At 48.6% G+C, this 17,786-nt stretch overlaps 2 protein-coding genes across 4 annotated transcripts in view, besides 4 other annotated features; both read right to left on the bottom strand.

Moving 5' to 3' along the window:
• The window catches only part of PRR5-ARHGAP8 (PRR5-ARHGAP8 readthrough), a 160,581-nt gene that overhangs the window by 72,818 nt on the left and 69,977 nt on the right, over positions 1-17,786 (bottom strand). Inside the window, exon 5 of the mRNA NM_181334.6 lies at positions 3,361-3,510. Within this exon, the coding sequence (NP_851851.3) occupies positions 3,361-3,510 (150 nt within the window). The remainder of the gene's footprint in view (positions 1-3,360; positions 3,511-17,786) is intronic.
• The window catches only part of ARHGAP8 (Rho GTPase activating protein 8), a 110,210-nt gene that overhangs the window by 72,818 nt on the left and 19,606 nt on the right, over positions 1-17,786 (bottom strand). For all 3 annotated transcript variants that reach the window (NM_001017526.2, NM_181335.3, NM_001198726.2), the window contains exon 2: positions 3,361-3,510. In NM_001017526.2, the coding sequence (NP_001017526.1) occupies positions 3,361-3,439 (79 nt within the window). In that variant the 5' untranslated portion in view covers positions 3,440-3,510. The remainder of the gene's footprint in view (positions 1-3,360; positions 3,511-17,786) is intronic.
• Positions 2,998-3,538: an enhancer, noted in NCBI's record as "H3K4me1 hESC enhancer chr22:45182309-45182849 (GRCh37/hg19 assembly coordinates)". NCBI's record gives its function as "activates a minimal SCP1, AML or CMV promoter by ChIP-STARR-seq in naive H9 embryonic stem cells {active_cell/tissue: H9 hESC(naive)}" and the evidence as "EXISTENCE:reporter gene assay evidence [ECO:0000049][PMID:30033119]".
• Positions 3,539-4,079: an enhancer, noted in NCBI's record as "H3K4me1 hESC enhancer chr22:45181768-45182308 (GRCh37/hg19 assembly coordinates)". NCBI's record gives its function as "activates a minimal SCP1, AML or CMV promoter by ChIP-STARR-seq in naive H9 embryonic stem cells {active_cell/tissue: H9 hESC(naive)}" and the evidence as "EXISTENCE:reporter gene assay evidence [ECO:0000049][PMID:30033119]".
• Positions 6,465-7,021: an enhancer, noted in NCBI's record as "H3K4me1 hESC enhancer chr22:45178826-45179382 (GRCh37/hg19 assembly coordinates)". NCBI's record gives its function as "activates a minimal SCP1, AML or CMV promoter by ChIP-STARR-seq in naive H9 embryonic stem cells {active_cell/tissue: H9 hESC(naive)}" and the evidence as "EXISTENCE:reporter gene assay evidence [ECO:0000049][PMID:30033119]".
• Positions 9,897-10,397: an enhancer, noted in NCBI's record as "H3K27ac hESC enhancer chr22:45175450-45175950 (GRCh37/hg19 assembly coordinates)". NCBI's record gives its function as "activates a minimal SCP1, AML or CMV promoter by ChIP-STARR-seq in primed H9 embryonic stem cells {active_cell/tissue: H9 hESC(primed)}" and the evidence as "EXISTENCE:reporter gene assay evidence [ECO:0000049][PMID:30033119]".

The following is a 17,786-nucleotide window of genomic DNA, read 5'->3' as shown; positions in this document are numbered from 1 at the left end:
ATGCACTTTCTGTGCAGACTGAGACAGACTGAAAGGAAAAAGGATGGAAGAGGCACACCTTACCAACACCAGTGATGAGAAAGCTGGTAGAGCTGTCTTGGCTATATTAGTATCAGAAAAATCGGACTTTAAGACAAGCAGTATCACCAGACATAAAGAAGGTCACTTAATAATGGTAAAAAATACACCTATAATCCCAGCACTTTGGGAGGCCAAGACAGGCCGATTGCTTCAGCCCAGGAGTTCAAGACCAGCCTGGGTAACATGACAAAACCCTGTCTCTACAAAAAAACCAAGAAAATTAGCCAGGCGTGGTGGCCTGTGCCTGTAGTCCCAGCTACATAAGAAGCTGAGGTGGGAGGACTGCCTGAGCCGAGGGAGGTAGAGGCTGTAGTGAGCCGAGACAGCGCCACTGCACAGCCTGGGCAACAAAGTGAGACCTTGTCTCAAAAAAAGGTCAATACATCAAGAAGTCATAACAATCCTAAGTATATATGCTCCTAGTAACAAAGCATCGGCCGGGCGCAGTGGCTCACACCTGTAATCCCAGCACTTTGGGAGGCTGAGGCGGGCGGATCACCTGAGGTCAGGAGTTTGAGACCAGCCTGGCCAACATGGCAAAACCCTGTCTCTGCTAAAGATACAAAAATTATCGGGGCTTGGTGGCGGGTGCCTGTAATCCCAGCTACTTGGGAGGCTGAGACAGGAGAATCACTTGAAACCAGGGAGCTGGAGGTTGCAGTGAGCTGAGATCGCACCACTGTACTCCAGCCTGGGCAACAGAGCAAGACTTCATTCCAAAAAAACAAAAAACAAACAAACAAAAAAACCAAAAAGCATCAAAACACAGGAAGCAAAAACGGACTGAACTAAAGGAAGAAATTTACAAAGTCCAATTTTGGGAGCTGTGAACACTCTTCCATTAGTAACTGAGAGCAGACAGAATATGCATAAGGATGTAGGAGATGTGAACACAACTTAATCATTAATCAACTTAACCTAACTGAAATACATAGAGCATTCTGCCCAACAACGCATAACATACATTCTTTCCACGTGCACAGGAAACATTTATTTACCTAGACAGATCATAGGCAAGTGTACTAGTTCTCAAACTTTCAGGTCTCAGAACCCATCAGTATTCCTAAGGTTATTATTAAGGACTTCGAAGAGCTTTATCTTTTTAAGCGGATTGTATCCATATATATTTACCATATTAGAAAACTAAAACAGAAAATTCAAAAATATTTATTCATTTAAAATAATAATAACCGGCCAGCATGGTGGCTCACACCTATAAACTCCAGCACTTTGGGAGGCAGAGGTAGGCGGATCACTTGAGGTCAGGAGTTCGAGACCAGCCTGGCCAACGTGACAAAACCCTGTCTCTACTAAAGATATAAAAATTAGCCAGGCATGGTGGTATATGCCTATAATCCCAGCTTCTCAGGAGGACTTGCACTTGGGAGGGTGAGGCTGCAGTGAGCCAAGATGGCACCACTGCACTCCGCAACAGAGTGACACCCTGTCTCAAAAAATAAAATTAAAGTCCAGGGATGGTGGCTCATGCCTATAATCCCAGCACTTTGGGAGGCCAAGGCAGGTTGATCACCTGAGGTCAGGAGTTCGAGACCAGCCTGACCAACATGGCAAAACCCTGTCTCTACTAAAAACACAAAAATTAGCTGGGTGTGGTGGCAGGCGCCTGTAATCCCAGCTACTTGGGAGGCTGAGACAGGAGAATCACTTGAACACGGGAGGTGGAGTTTAGAGTAAGCCAAGACCGTGCCATTGCACTCCAGTCTGGGTGACAAAATGAAACTCCATCTCAAAATAACAATAATAAAATAATAATAATAATAATAATAACATATAATAAAAATTTTAAACACTATATAAATTAAAAATATATATTTCCTGCCTTCCTTCTGTTGGCACCTGGCCAGGGGATCTGCATTCCTCACACTCGGTCCAGTGTTCCCTCTACCTAAATCCTAGAAGTTTTCTTAAAAGGACATTTGGGGGGAAAAAAAAAAAAAAAAAAAAAGGACATTTGGGGCTTCAAATGACTGAGTGCCTGTCAAGTCCTGCCCTCTTGCTGTCCCTCCTGTACACAGTGTGCACTAAAGTGTTTATCATGTTTCTGGGGTCTTTAACTGTTTGAGAACTGGCCTCTTTTTATTATTACCTTGACAAGATTCCAGGCCCCTCAGAGATGACAGCTAATGATTATGGAGCTCAGTGCAGGGGACATCAACGTGAGGGTTGGACTCACTGCCCATGGGAGAAATGCATGCTCAGACCTAAATTAAAGCAATGCAAGGCCGGGCACGGTGGCTCACGCCTATAATCCCAGCATTCTGGGAGACCGAGACAGGTGGATCACTTGAGGTCAGGAGTTCAAGACCAGCCTGACCAAAATGGCGAAACCCCGTCTCTACTAAAAATACAAAAATTAGCTGAGTGTGGGGGTGAGCGCCTGTAATCCCAGCTACTTGGGAGGCTGAGGAGGAGAATCTCTTGAACCCGGGAGGCAGAGGTTGCTGTGAGCTGGGATCGTACTACTGCACTCCAGCCTGGGCGACAGAGCGAAACCCTGTCTCAAACAAAACAAAACAAAACAAAACAAAACAAAACAAAACAAAGCAACGCAAGATGTTTTCCTCTGACCAACTGCTGGGCACGGAGTTGTTTGTTGTCTACGTTTTTGCAGATGTTTGTTGCTTTGGATGAGACATAACAGTGCCCTTGATTAATAAAACAATTCATTAAATTTCAGCCTCTGCTCTTTAAAGCCTAGCAGGACACTGCCCGTTGGCTTCTCGGAGCACCTGGGCAATGCTTTGACAAGTGTGTAATTTATTTCTCCAAACACACTAGCAGGCCCTCCTTTTCCAATTAGTTTTACTTCTTTCTTTTTTTTTTTTTTGTTTTTTTGAGACAGGGTCTCACCACTCTGTCACTCTGTCACCCAGGCTGGAGTGCAGTGGTGTGATCTTGGCTCACTGTGCAACCTCTGCCTCCCGGGCTGAAGCAATCTTCCCACCTCAGCCCCGCAAGTAGCTGGGAATACAGGCATGCAACACCATGCTCGGCTGATTTTTGTATTTTTTTTGTAGAGATGGGGTCTCACTACATTGCCCAGGCTGGTCTCGAATTCGTGGGCTGAAGCAATCTGCCCACTTTGGCCTCACAAAGTGCTAGGATTAAAGGTATGAGCCACTGCACCTGGCTCTAATTAGATTTCAATCTTGCCCAGCTGCAGTGAGGCAGCCCCTGACGAGCCCACTTTGCCTCAAAGTTGCCGAGAGGAAGGCTGCTCTGCCCATGGTCCTGCAGACTGCCCAGCTGGGGCCCTACCTGCCACCTGCAGAATGCCATGTCTGGCCACGTCGTAGAACGGGTGACTCGTGCTCAGCGCAGGATCCTGGCCAGCCATGGGCACCACCGAGGGCCTCTTCCTCACTGCACCCAGCACAGCAGCCGCCGCCGCCTTGTCTCTCTGCAGCTCTGCGGCAAAGAAGATTAAAGGAAGTCAGTGCATTCTCCAGTAAGGCGGGGAATGAGGGAGCCTCCTGATGCCTTTCATAAGACAGTCACCCACCTCTGCTGCACACCCACTACGCGCCCTACCTCAGCCGTGCACCCACTACGCGCCCTGCCTCAGCCGAGCACCCACTAGGCGCCCTGCCTCAGCCGAGCACCCAGTACGCGCCCTCCCTCAGCCGAGCACCCATTATACACTCTACATCAGTCGAGCACCCACTATACGCCCTACCTCAGCCGAGCACCCATTATGCACTCGACATCAGCCGAGCACCCACTATGCGACCTACCTCAGCCATGCACCCACTGTGTACTCTACCTCGGTTGTACACCAAGTGCCCATCCAGTGTCCAGCACCATGGAGGGAGAAAAATAAGACCTAAGGGTCAGATACTGTCCACATTGACAGGGGTGGCAACTAAGGCTCAGAGAGGGAGAGTGACTTGCTAACTGGCAGCAAGGTGTGGACTTAACCTTGAACCTCCAGCTCCAAATTCTGAGCCAGGCCTCCATGAAAGACCCTGACACTGGCAGCCAGCAGGAAGCCAGTGCTGCCGAAAGCACCAAGGTGGGCTGGGGTTGAGGGCAGGCACTGGGGTCACTGCCATATGAGGAAGAAAGAAAAGGCTGCCCTCCTAAGTTGAATCTTAGCAGGGGAGGTTCTCATGCAAAACCAATCAGGGTTCTTAGAGAAATGTTTTCAGCTGCAAAAAAGAACAGGAATTTTGAATTTCAAGGTTAGAGCAGATGTAGGATCCCAGGTGTAGGGGGTTGAAGACTATCCCCTCCCCACCCCAGTATTCCTCCTGGAGCTCGGAATGTGACCTTATTTGGAAGTCGGGTCTTTGGAGATGTAAGTAGTTAAGATGTGGTCAACTGGATCAAGGTGGGCCCTGAATCCAATGACTCAGGAGATACAAGGGGAGGGTGTGTGAGGACGGAGTCACAGACTAGTGTGATGCGGCCGCAAGCCAAGGGACACCAGGAACCACCAGAAGATGCAAAAAAGACCCTCCCCTGGAGCCTTCGGGAAAGTGCAGCTCTGCAGACACCTTGACTTTGGACTGGTGGCCTCCAGAACTGAGACAGTGACCTGTTGTCTTAAGCCGCCAGGTTGTGGCACTTTGCTGGCGGCCCGAGGAGATGGGTAGATTCAGGTCCCATGGAGTTAGGAGGCCTAGGGCATGACGAGGCTGGTGAGGGTGCCCGAGGAGAAAGCACTGGCTTTTCTAACAATTTCTGGAGGTGATTCTGATGCAAAGTCAGGTTTGAGATTCACTCATCCAGACCAACACCCCATCGAGGAGGGAGCGTGAGGCGGGGCCTGAGGGCTGCCTCACATGGGCTGGAAGCTGCTTCCCACACCTCCCTGCCCACTCAGTCCCGGTCTACCCCAGTCCTTGGGGTGTTTACCTGGTATTTACTCAGCACCACTCTGTGCAGGAATGGGGCGGGGGATGGGGCCAAGGCCCCTGTTCATCAACAGGTGTGAGGGTCCCAGGGTGGGGTGAGTAGGGGGTGCCACAGGACACCCCTCCTTCCAGTCAGTCAACAAATATGCATTGAGTACCTACTATGTGCCAAGAACACTTTCCGGCAGTGAGGACCCAGCAGCCACACAGGCAAAGCCCCTGCGTCGGGCAGAACAGAGGCCTCCCAGTGAGGTCCACATCCCGCTCCCTGGACCCTGTGCATGTGACTGTCTGTGGCAAAAGCGATTCTGCAGAGGGGATTAAGTTAAGGATCCTGAGATGAGTGGGTTATCGTGGATTATCCAGTTGGGCCCAAAGTACAGTTGTCTCTCAGTATCCTGGAGGGATTGGTTCCAGGACCCCCCAGGGATACCAAAATCTTTGGAAGCTCAAATCCCTGATAGAAAATGGCATAGTGTTTGCAAGGAACCTACACACATTCTCCCGTATTGTTCAAATCACCTCTAGATTACTTATAATACCAAATACAATGTAAATGCTATGTAAGGAATTTTTATACTGTTTGTTGTTGTTTTGTTTTGTTTGAGACCGAGTCTCACTCCCTCGCCCAGGCTGGAGTGCAGTGGCATGATCTCTGCTCACTGCAACCTCCACCACCTGGATTCAAGCAATTCTCCTGCCTCAGCCTCCTGAGTAGCTGGAATTACAGGCATGCACCACCACGCTCAGCTAATTTTTGTCTTTTTAGTAGAGACAGGGTTTCACCATGTTGGCCAGACTGGTCTCGAACCCCTGGCCTCAAGTGATCTGCCTTCCTTGACCTCCCAAAGTGCTGGGATTACAGGTGTGAGTCACCGTGGCTGGCAGTGTACTTTTTTTTTATTTTTAATTTGCATGGTTTTATTGTGGTATTAAGATTTTTGCATTGCTTTTATTATTGTATTTTTTATGTATTATGTTATGAAGTATTTTTGATTTGCAGCTGGTTGCATCCTTGGATACAGAACCCGTGGGTGCAGAGGTTGAGTATAATTGCAGGGGGTCCTTACAAGAATGAGGCAGGAAGGGCTGAGTCAAGGAAGCAGCCATGACCATGGGTGGAGGCAGAGAGAATGATGGGGACAGGCTCTGCGGCTGGAGGCAGGATGGGCCCGAGCCCAGGAATGTGGGCAGCAAAGGGCAGGAAACAAAGCCTCCCTGGAGCCTCCGGAGGTACAGCCGGCCGCCAACGCCTTGACCTCAGCCCAGGAAACACCTTTCGGACAGGTCGGGAAGCTAAGGTCTCTGTGCTATTTGTGCCGCTGACGGGGTGGGGACCTGCTGCGGCAGCCACTGGAAGCTTGCACAGCTCTGGCCTCAGGGATGCCGGTTCTAGTGCGGTGGAGCAGAGGCATGAACAGGGAAAGGAGAGAGACCTAGGGGAGGTGGGTGCAGGAGGTGGGCCTCCAGGGACCTTCACCCCAAGTGTGACAGAGCGGCTGGATGTCCTGAGTCGAGCCTGCCTGATGGGGCTTCCAGGATCCCTCTGGCTGCAGAGAAGGGGGAGCAGGAGGCCTGTGGGGGCCGAGCTCTTCAATGACAAGCTCCGGGTGTGGGTCCTGGCTGGTGCTGGCCCTGAGTGGCAGTGAAATGGACTGCCCGCCTGCCTCTGTGTGGACAGCTCGGGGATGGACCGCTGCGGGGGTGGGGAGGGGGCACTCAGAGAGTGGCAAAGCCCTGCAGGCAGGGGAGGGCCTCCAAGGTCAGCGTGGCTATGGGAGAGCCAGGCCAGACCATGGAACCTTGAACGTGGGGAGGACTTGGGCTTCATGCAAGGTCAGGAGTTCGAGACCAGCCCTGCCAACGTGGTGAAACCTCCTGGGCCCTGAGAAGATTGAGCAGAAACATGGAGTGGGGCAGCCTGGCCCAGAGGGAGGGAGGGAGGGAGGGAGGGGAGCGTGTGTATCGGGCTGGAGCTGGGCTGGCCCAGGCCCACTGCGGGAACCATCCTGGAAACCCCCGTGGCCCTACACGTTAGCCACGTGGACACCCCCATCACTGCACAAGTGGAGGCCTCCTGATGTTTCAGTGCTAAAGCGTGCCGTGGAAAACAGCGTGGCAGCTCCCCAGAAAGCCAAACCTACGACCCAGCCAAGGAGAAGCCCAGGAAAGCTGGAGACGGGGACTGAGCAAATACACGTACACGCATGCTCAGAGCAGCACTGCTCACAACAGCCAAAGGGTGGCAACTGCCCAGATGTCCACCAGTGGATGGATGGATAAGCCACGTGCGGTCCAGCCATATGGTGAAATATTACTCAGCCGTAACAGGATGAAGTTCTGGCCTATGACCCAACATAGAGGAACTTGAAACCGCTCTATTCAGTGAAAGAAACCAGGCACAAAAAAGCACACACGGTATGATCCCATTTACATGAAGCGTCCCGAATAGGCAAATCCACAGAGACAGAAAGCAGATGGGTGGATGCCAGGAATGGAGGGAGGGAGGGCAGGGGAGTGGCTGCTTAATGGGAGTTTCCCACTGGGGTGATGAAAACGTTCTGGAACTAACTAGCAGCGGTGGGTACACAGCACTGTGAGTGGACTCGACAGCCCTGAATTGTGTGCTTTAAAGTGATTAATTTATTCTTTTCATTTATTTTTTATTTTTTGAGATGGAGTCTCACTTTGTCGCCCAGGCTGGAGTGCACTGGTGCGATCTTGGCTCACTGTAATCTCCTCCTCTCCGGTTCAAGCGATTCTCCTGCCTCAGCCCCCTGAGTACCTGGGACTACAGGCATGTGCCACCATGCCAAGCTAATTTTTTTGTATTTTTAGTAGAGATGGGGTTTCACCACATTGGCCAGGCTGGTCTCAAACTCCTGACCTCAAGTGATCTGCCCGCCTCAGCCTCCCAAAGTGCTGGGATTATAGGCGTGAGCCACCACACCCGGCCCTAAAGTGGTTAATTTAATGTTACACGAATTTCAGTCCAATTTAAAAGAGAAGGGCTAGACACGGTGGTGCATGCCTGTAATCCCATCTACTCAGGAGGCTGAGGTGGGAGGATCGACTGAGCCCAGGAGGTCAGGGCTGCAGTGAGCCAATTTCACATCACTGCACTCCAGCCTGGGCAACACAGCAAGATCCTGTCTCTAAAAATAAAATAAAAATAAATAAAATAGGCCAGGCACGGTGGCTCACGCCTGCAATCCCAGCACTTCGGGTGGCTGAGGCATGTGGATCACCTGAGGTCAGGAGTTCAAGACCAGCCTGGCTAACATGGTGAATCCCTGTTTCTACTAAAAATACAAAAAAATTAGCCGGGCGTGGTGGCACGCACCTGTAATCCCAGCTACTTGGGGGCTGAGGCAGGAGAATCCCTTGAACCTGGGAGCCGGAGGCTGCAGTGAGCTGAGATCGCGCCATCGCACTCCAGCTTGGGCAACAAGAGTGAAACTCTGTCTCAAAAATAAATAAACATTTAAAAAATAAAATAATATAATATAAATCATTTTAAAAAGAAAAAAATGCTACAGTACATGGGAAGCACTATGGTAAGGAAACAGGATGAGGCAGGTCAAGGGACCCCATCTGAACGCAGCCCACACTTGAACCTCATACTGCAATCTCCTGAATCTGCATTACCGTCACGCTGCCACAGCAACCCAAGGGAGAAATGGGTTCCTATCGCTGCAAGCCTGAAGCAGTAAGGAGAGTAAACCAGAAGGCAAAATCATGAGTTCTTGGAAGCAAACCAAGCAATGTATGTAAAATTCCACGAAGACTTCCTGCATCTGGATGTGAAATGCTGATGCTAGATGCAGAATGGAAAATGATTTCTTCCAGAGCGGCGGGTCGTCAGTAGGTTCTTAAGATCGCCTCTGGTTATTTCAAACCCAGAAGAGAAATCTGCCCGGCAGCCGCCGGCAGCGCACATGATAGTGACAGCCACTGCCCCTCACTTGGACACACGTGCACGGGAGTCTGTGGAACCCAGGGGATACCTGGAAGCGAGGCTCTCCTCCCAGCTTGGCCTTTGTCGCCTGGTTTCCTCAGGCATGCTCTTCAGTGCCTCTGAGCCTCAGTTTATTTTTCTGTAAAATGGGAAACAGAACCTAGCACCTTATAGGGTAGCTCTACCGTGAATGAGGGTGTTATCTCACTAAAGCCTCACAACCCAGGAGGATGATCCTCATCCCCAGGGCTTTATTTAAATCTGCATAAAGCAAGTCTACAAAGATAAAACATGGACTAATGGCATTGGCCAGTGGTGGGGGTGAGGGCAGGGCCTGAGGATGGGGTGGAAGAAAGACTTTTCACTGAATACCTATTTTATTTTATTTTGAGATGGAGTCTTGCTCCGTTGCCCAGGCTGGAGTGCAGTGGTGCGATCTCGGCTCAATGCAACCTCCGCCTCCCTGGTTCAGTAGATTCTCCTGCCTCAGCCTCCTGAGTAGCTGGGACTACAGGCGCCCGCCACCATGTCCGGCTAATTTTTTGTGTTTTTAATAGATATGGGTTTTCACCATGTTGACCAGGTTGGTCTTAAACTCCTGACCTCAGATGGTCCACCCGCCTTGGCATCCCAAGGTGCAGGGATTACAGGCATGAGCCACTGTGCCCAGCCTGTTTTTTATTTTATTTTTTAAGAGATAGGATCTTGCTCTGTAGCCCAGGCTGGAGTGCAGTGGCGCAATCACAGCTCACTGCAGCCTTGGCCTCCTGGGCTCAAGAGATCCTCTTGCCTCAGCCTCCTGAGTAGCTGAGACCACAGCTGTGCACCACTGTGCCGGCCCACTGAGTGTATTTTTATAAAGTTAGATTTTTTTTGAGCCACATGAATATATTATCTACTCAAAAACTAAATGTATACCAATGATCTTCTCCCAGGACCAGGCTGGAGGGAGAACATACATTAGCTATGCCGGCCAGCTCCTCAAAGTCCAGCCCGGACACGCTCACCTGGCAGATGGGACACCTGCTGCCACCTCTTGGGGTCCCAGCCTGGGGGTCCCTCCCTCTGACACCCTGAGGGAGAAGCACACAGAACACAGAGGCGTGTTTCACACAAGCCCGCAGGGTTTGAGGAAATGCCCTTCAAGGGACCCCCCTGTTGTTTTGTCTAAAATGAAGAAAAAGGCCGAGCGTGGTGGCTCATGCCTGTAATCCTAGCACTTTGGAGGCCGAGGCAGGTGGATCAACCGGGGTCAGGAGTTCGAGACCAGCCTGGCCAATACAGTGAAACCCCATCTCTACTAAAAATACAAAAATTAGCTGGGCGTGGTGGCCCATGGCTCACACCTGTAATCCCGGCTACTCGGGAAACTGAGGCAGAAGAATTGCTTGAACCTGGTAGGCAGAGGTTGCAGTGAGCCGAGATCACCCCACTGCACTCCAGCCTGGGTGACAGAGCAAGACTCCAACTCAAAAAAAAAAAAAAATCCTCAAACTGGAAACCGCCCATGTAAATCTCCACAGCAGGCAAAGGAGATGTAAATGGCAGATGTCCTACAGCGGGATGTTACATGCCAGGTGGACAGGCCACTATAGCCACGCGTACCGACGTGAGTGGTCTCGCAATATGTTGAACAAAAAGTCAGACACCGGCCGGGCGCAGTAGCTCATGCTTGCAATCCAAGAACTTTGGGAGGCTGAGGCAGGCAAATCACCTGAGGTCAGGAGTTCGAGACCAGCCTGGTCAACATGGTGAAACCCCATCTCTACTAAAAATACAAAAATTAGCCAGGCGTGGATGGTGGGGACCTGTAATCCCAGCTACTAGGGAGGCTGAGGCAGGAGAATCGCTTGAACCCAAGAGGCGGAGGTTGCAGTGAGCCAAGATCGCGCCACTGCACTCCAGCCTGGGTGACAGAGTGAGACTCTGTCTCAAAAAAAAAAAAAAAAAAAAGTCAGAGACCAAAAAGTCAGTCACTGTGCAATTCCACTTTCTGCTTTTCGTTACGTATCCATTCCAAGATTCCTGATCTATTTGTGGGTGTGTTTTGCAGACCATCTTTTGAACTGATGGTAGCTGCTGCCTGGTTCACTCATTATGGGTGAAAGAAAATCATTAACATGTTTGTTTTATATCTGTGTGAGAGTTCTGATTTTCCATTTCCTGGAAGTTACCTTTTAATGTGGGGTTAGAGAGAGAGGAGGGCTGACCATTAGAACTGGGGGCAGAAATGAATCAAGGGTGAGGCCGTTATTTCTGCTGTTTTGCTATCGTCCCAGGGCACAGAAAACTGATTTTAGCCTGACCACCTGAAGAAGTTACAGAAGGAAGAATGGCCATAATCAAAAAATCATAAAATAATAGATATTGGCGTGGCTGCGGTGAACAGGGAACACTTCTACACAGCTGGCAGGAATATAAACTAGCACAACCACTATGGAAAACAGTGTGGAGATTCCTTAAAGAACTAAACGTAGAACTACCATTTGATCCAGCAATCCCGCTACTGGGTGTCTACCCAGAGGAAAATAAGTCATTATACAAAAAAGATCCTTGCACACCCATGTTTATAGCAGCACAATTCGCAATCGCAAAAATGTGGAACCAGCCCAAATGCCCATTAATCAACGAGAGGATAAAGAAACTGTGATATAGACATACGATGGAATACTACTCAGCCATAAAAAGGAATGAATTAATGGCATTCATAGCAACTTGGATGAGATTGGAGACTGTTATTCTAAGTGAAGTAACTCAGAAATGGAAAACCAAACATTGTTACGTTCTCATAAGTGGGAGCTAAGCTATGAGGATGCAAAGGCATAAGAAAAACACAATGGACTTTGGGGACTTAGAGGGAAAGGGTGGGAAGGGGGTGAGGGATAAAAGACTACACATTGAATGCAATGTATACTGCTCAGGTGATGGGTGCACCCAAATCTCACAAATCAACACTAAAGAACGTACTCATGTAGCCACACCACCTGTTCCCCAATAACCTATGGAAATAAATAAATAAATAAATAAATAAATAAATAAATAAATAAATAAAATAGTCCAGGCACAGTGGCTCATGCCTGTAATCCCAGCACTTTGGGAGGCTGAGGCAGGTGGATCACCTGAGGTCAGGAGTTTGAGAACAGACTAGCCAACATGGTAAAACCCCGTCTCTACTAAAAATACAAAAATTAGCTGGGCATGGTGGCGGACACCTGTAATCCCAGCTACTTGGGAGGGTCAGGCAGGAGAACCGCTTGAGCCCGGGAGGCGGAGGTTGCAGTGAGCCAAGATTGTGCCATTACACTCCAGCCTGGGTGACAAGAACAAAACTCTGTCTCAAAATTAACAACTAACTAAATAAAATAAAACAAAACAATCACCACTGGGTGGGCTCAAATACAAGTTAAGAATTCAGAAGGGAGAAAAAAAAAAGCAGCTGCAGAAGTAAAGCCACTGGGTGTCTGACAGCAGCTGTTAAATGGGTAACGAGCAGTAGGGAGGAGACTTCAGGCCCAACAGAGTGACCCTGCTCAGGGGCGAAAGTCTTTGAATTTCTGCCAAGAGAAAAGTGTTTAAAGCCACCTTTTAATGACATGAACCTACCTGGCTAGTGAGAAAAGTGCTACTACATTCTGATCATGAGATTTTATTGTTGGGAATGATTTGCCAGGACTTTCTCCAAGCAGAAGAGCTCAGGGATTTTATTTAAAAAGTGTTGGGAGAAATGTTCAAAATTGAGACGAACGTTTAAGCACAACATGGGGAGTCAGCCGCCAGGGTCTGAGCCCAGCCCTGGCCCCTAGCGTGAGACAGGCACATACCATAACAGAGGCTGCTCCAACTGTGCCAAGGGGAAGGCCTGGGCCCAGCGGGAGGTGGTAGAGTATGCCTGTTGAAGAATAGCAGAGTGTTACGGGAGTGGAATGATTCAGACTTGAGGAACACGTGCTAGGGAGACACAGCAGGTTCTTGAGCAGAGGAGTGCCTGAGAAGGTCAGCAGAGGCTTCTAGAACCTACAATAGCTCAGGAGCCTGAGGGCAAAAAGCCGGTCCCAGAAACAGCAGGAACAGCATTGCAGGAGGAGCAGGTGCTTGGGACATGTCCCAAGCTGCATAGACAGCGAGGGTGATGGACAGAGCAGGCAGGGCACAGTGGGCCTTGAGGCAGGGGGGATACAGGGAGAGGCTCCCAGTGGAAGGAGGGGTGAGTTACAAGCAACAGCAAACACCTCTTCCCATGCACCCCTACCCCCGCCACCAGGCCACCTACAGTGCGCAGCGCCATTAATTCTGCTCTGACGCCACCCGCTGAAGCAAGGCTTTCAGTTAATTACCAAATCCTCCCGGAGTGCCCAGTGCTGGGAACCGGCAAGTGAAGCCTCAGTAACTCAGAATAAAGGGCAACACAGGGAGGGCCCATTTACATTAATGAAAAATCTGAACTCCAGGAGCCTATTAAGAAGACAGCGTTTTATGACTCTCAAACAAGGCAGGTGGCACTTCAGGAGATGTTGCTTACCACAGGCCTCACCACAGTGGAGACACAGGAATAATTTTAACAAGTACAAGGATGCCTACTTTTTTTTTTCTTTTTTTTTGAGACGGAGTTTCACTCTTATTGTCCAGGCTGGAGTGCAATGGCGCGACCTCAGCTCACTGCAATGTCCGCCTCCCAGGTTCAAGGGATTCTCCTGCCTCGGCCTCCCGAGTAGCTGGGATTACAGGTACCCGCCACCATGCTCGGCTAATTTTTTGTATTTTTAGTAGAGACTGGGTTTCACCATTTTGGTCAGGTAGGTCTCAAACTCCTGAACTCAGGTGATCCACCCGCCTCAGCCTCCAAAAGTGCTGAGATTACAGGTGTGAGCCACTGCGCCTGGCTGGATGCCTACATATTAATGAGGGTTACAGAAGCCTCTGGAAGCAGCTTGTACTTGTGACATCTTCAGGGGATGGGAAGTGCCGTGAAGTTTTAGACTACAGCTTGGCAGCTGGGACCTGAAATCTGGAGGTGACTCACTCGCTTCTGACTTACCTGGGAGAGGAGGACTCACTCCATGAGTGACCAGAATCAGGAAGGCTACTGGTTTCTGAATGAGGCAAAGCTCGAGTTGAAACATCAAGCAAATTTGGAAATGTGGGCCAATCTAGGTGACTGAAGGAGTCCTTCTATTACCAGGGAAGCTAATTTTTCCAGAATGCTAAGTAGCTACATAATATAGATAAACTGATTAAAAATGAGATACGATTTGTGCTAAAAAATAGAATTCAGGTACTAAAAATTTCCCTTAAAGAGTTATGGGCCAGGTGCGGTGGCTCACACCTATAATCTTAGCACTTTGGGAGGCCGAGGTGGGTGGATAACCTGAGGTCAGGAGTTTGAGACCAGCCCAGCCGACATGATGAAACCCCATCTCTACTAATAATACAAAAAAATTAGCCGGGCGTGGTGGCACATGCCTGTAATCCCAGCTACTTGGGAGGCTGAGGCAGGAGAATCGCTTGAACCCGGGAGGCAGAGGTTGCAGTGAGCCAAGACTGTGCCATTGCACTCCAGCCTGGGCAACAAGAGCGAAACTCCGTCTCAAAAAAAAAAAGAGAAAGAATTATGTCCCCTCAGGGTTATGACAGCCCTGCTGGAGTTGTCCACAGGTCAGGGAAAGGCTGCCTGCAGATGGCCAAGCTACCACCCAGGAGGCCGTGAGGGGAGAAGCAGCCAAGTCCACCAGAGGCTGATATCCAGGCAGCCAGACTCTCGCCATCTCTGCTGACCCATAGGCCCAGGCCAGCTCATATGGTACATAAAACGCTGGTGCTGAGTATGAAAAATTCAGAGTGCTCATTCTCCTTTCAGTTTATGTGTTGTGCTGCCCAGGAAACCTTTGCCTCTTGGAATTTCTATTAAAAAATATTCCCCAAGGCTGCACACCGTGGCTCGTGCCTATAATCCCAGCACTTTGGGAAGCCGAGGCAGGTGGATCAACTGAAGTCAGGAGTTCGAGACCAGCCTGGCCAAAATGGCAAAACTCTGTCTCTACTAAAAATACAAAAAGTTAGCCAGGCATGGTGGTGAGTGCCTGTTGTCCCAGCTACTCGGGAGGCTGAGGTAGGAGAATCACTTGAACCCAGGAAGCAGAGGTTGCAGTGAGCCACGATTGCTCCACTGCACTCCAGCCCGGGTGACAGAGTGAGACTCCATCCGCCCCCCGCCCCCACCCCTCCAAAAAAAGGCCAGGCACGGTGGCTCACGCCTGTAATTCCAACACTTTGGGAGGCTGAGGTGGGTGGAGCACCTGAGGTCAGGAGTTTGAGACCAGCCTGGCCAACACGGTAAAATCCGTCTCTACTAAAAACACAAAAATTAGCCAGGTGTGGTGGCGGGTGCCTGTAATCCCAGCTACTTAGGAGGCTGAGGCAGGAGAATCACTTGAACCCGGGAGGCAGAGGTTGCAATTAGCCAAGACTGTGCCATTGCACTCCAGCCTGGGCAACAAGAACGAAACTCCATCTCAAAAAAAAAAAAAAAAAAAAATCTCCCAAAGAAATACCAATAAACAAGAAAATAGTCAAATGTCATACAGTCTCTGCTACCATAAAGACACTAATTATAAAGGCATTTTTTTGTTGATGTTGTTGATTGGATAACTTATATTCAAACTACAATGTCCTATCACTGCAGCTGTGTCAGCCTTGGCACAGACATCGGCAGTGATAGGACACTCACTACCTTCTCAGGAAGTTCACTACATCTTGGCTCGGAAATGACTGCTAAAACGTTCTTCCTTTCACCAAGACTAAAATCCATCTCTATCAACAGTTCATCCTTAACTTTAACCCCGTGACTGTTGAAAACCAGCCTGGTGTTGAAGGAAAGGCATAAGACTTGGAGTTAGAAAGGCATAAATTTAAGACCCTAGAGCAGAATGAGTGTGCATCCTGCAGCCAGACTACCTGGAGAGCCTTTGGCACCTGTCTCAACCCGTGTCTCCATTTCTTAGTTTATAAAATATAGACAACAACAGCACCTTCCTCATAGAGAGAATATAAGGATTTAGCGAGATAATGCAGTCAATTGCCCAGCATGGTACCTGGTATGTGACTGGTATGCAGTAAATGTTCACAACCATCATCACTATAGTATAAATGGCATATTAATAAGTCTACATTTTGCTGGGTGTGGTGGGTCATGCCTGCAATCCCAGCACTTTGGGGGGCCAAAGCAGGTGGATCACTTGAGGCCAGGAGTTCAAGACCAACCTGGGCAACATGGCAAAACCCTATCTCTACTAAAAATACAAAAATTAGCTACATGTGGTGGTGTACACCTTTAGTCCTAGCTACTCGGGAGATTGAGGCAGGAGAATCACTTGAGTCTGGGAGGCGGAGGATGCAGTGAGCCAAGATCATGTCATTGCATCCCAGCCTGGGCAACAGGAATGAAACCCTGTCTCAAGAAAAAAGAGAGAAAAAAGAAAAATTCTACATTTCACATAGTTTTACAAATCCCATACCATCCTGGTGTCATAAAACATCTGTCCTGTGAAGTATGTTAATGTTCTGCTAACACACAGTGTAATTAGTAAAAACCAAGCTATTTAGGGTCTTTTGGGAAAGGTGTTATTACTATATAAATGCATGTATGTTTCAATTCACCAATCAGAACACAGTAAAGTTTACAAAGTAAATGTCTTAAAATACAAAGGTGAAGCTAAATCTACATCTTGAGACAGGAGACATCACTACAGATACTACAGACATTAAAAGGATAATGAGAGAATATTACAAATGCCCTTATGACAATACATTCAACAATCTAGATAAATTTGACACATTTCCTGAAAGACACAAGCTACCAAAGCTCATTCAAGAAGAAACTGATAACCTGAATAGCCCACTATCTAGTACGTAAGTCAAATTTGTTAAGAAAAGCTTCCTGGCCAGGCTTGGTGGCTTGCACCTATAATCCCAGCACTTTGGGAGGCCAAAGCAGGAAGGTAACTTAAGCCCAGAGGTTTAAGACTGGCCTGGGCAACATATGAGACCTCATATCTACAAAAAATAAAGATTAGCTGGGCATGGTAGTGCACACTTGTAGTTCCAGCTACTTGGGAGGCTGAAGTAGGAGGACCGCTTGAACCCAGGAGGTCAGGGCTGCAATGAGACATGATTGCACCACGGCACAATCACGGGAGACCTGGGAGATGGGAAGAGACCGTGTCTCAAAAAAAAAAAAAAAAAAAAGTGGGAGAGAGAAAATAAATTCAAAGAAAACTCTGGTGCTACATGTTACATCAGAAATAATACCAATTCTCCACTAACTCTGCCAGAAAATAGAAGATAAGGAAATACCTTCTAACTTATTTTATGGGGCCAGCATTACCCTTATGCCAAAACCAAAGACAATACAAGAAAAGAAAGCTTCATCTGCCTTAGGAACAGAGACATAAACAATCTTAACAAAATATTAACAAATCAAACCCAGCAATATATAAAAAGTACAACCTATCATGACCAACAAGGGTTTGTTTCAGCTTTGCAGAGTTGTTTTAATATTCAAAAATCAGCCAGCACGGTGGCTCATGCCTGTAATCTCAGCACTTTGGGAGGCCAAGGCGGGCGGATCACTTGAGGTCAGGAGTCCGAGACCAACCTGGTCAACATAGCGAAACCCTGTCTCTACTTAAAAAAAAAAAAAAAAGAAAAAAGAAAATACAAAAAAAAAGTCAATCAGTGTAGTTTGCAGTGAGCTGAGATCATGCCACTGCACTCCAGCCTGGGCAACAGAGACTCAGTCTTGAAAAAAAAAAAAAAAAAAAAAAAAAAAAAAGGCAAAACAGTAGTAAAACAGAAACATAAAAACATAGTAAAAC

Source organism: Homo sapiens, chromosome 22 (genome assembly GCF_000001405.40).
Source record: "Homo sapiens chromosome 22, GRCh38.p14 Primary Assembly".
Lineage (NCBI taxonomy): Eukaryota > Metazoa > Chordata > Mammalia > Primates > Hominidae > Homo > Homo sapiens.
This window is presented reverse-complemented; position numbering and strand designations above follow the sequence as displayed.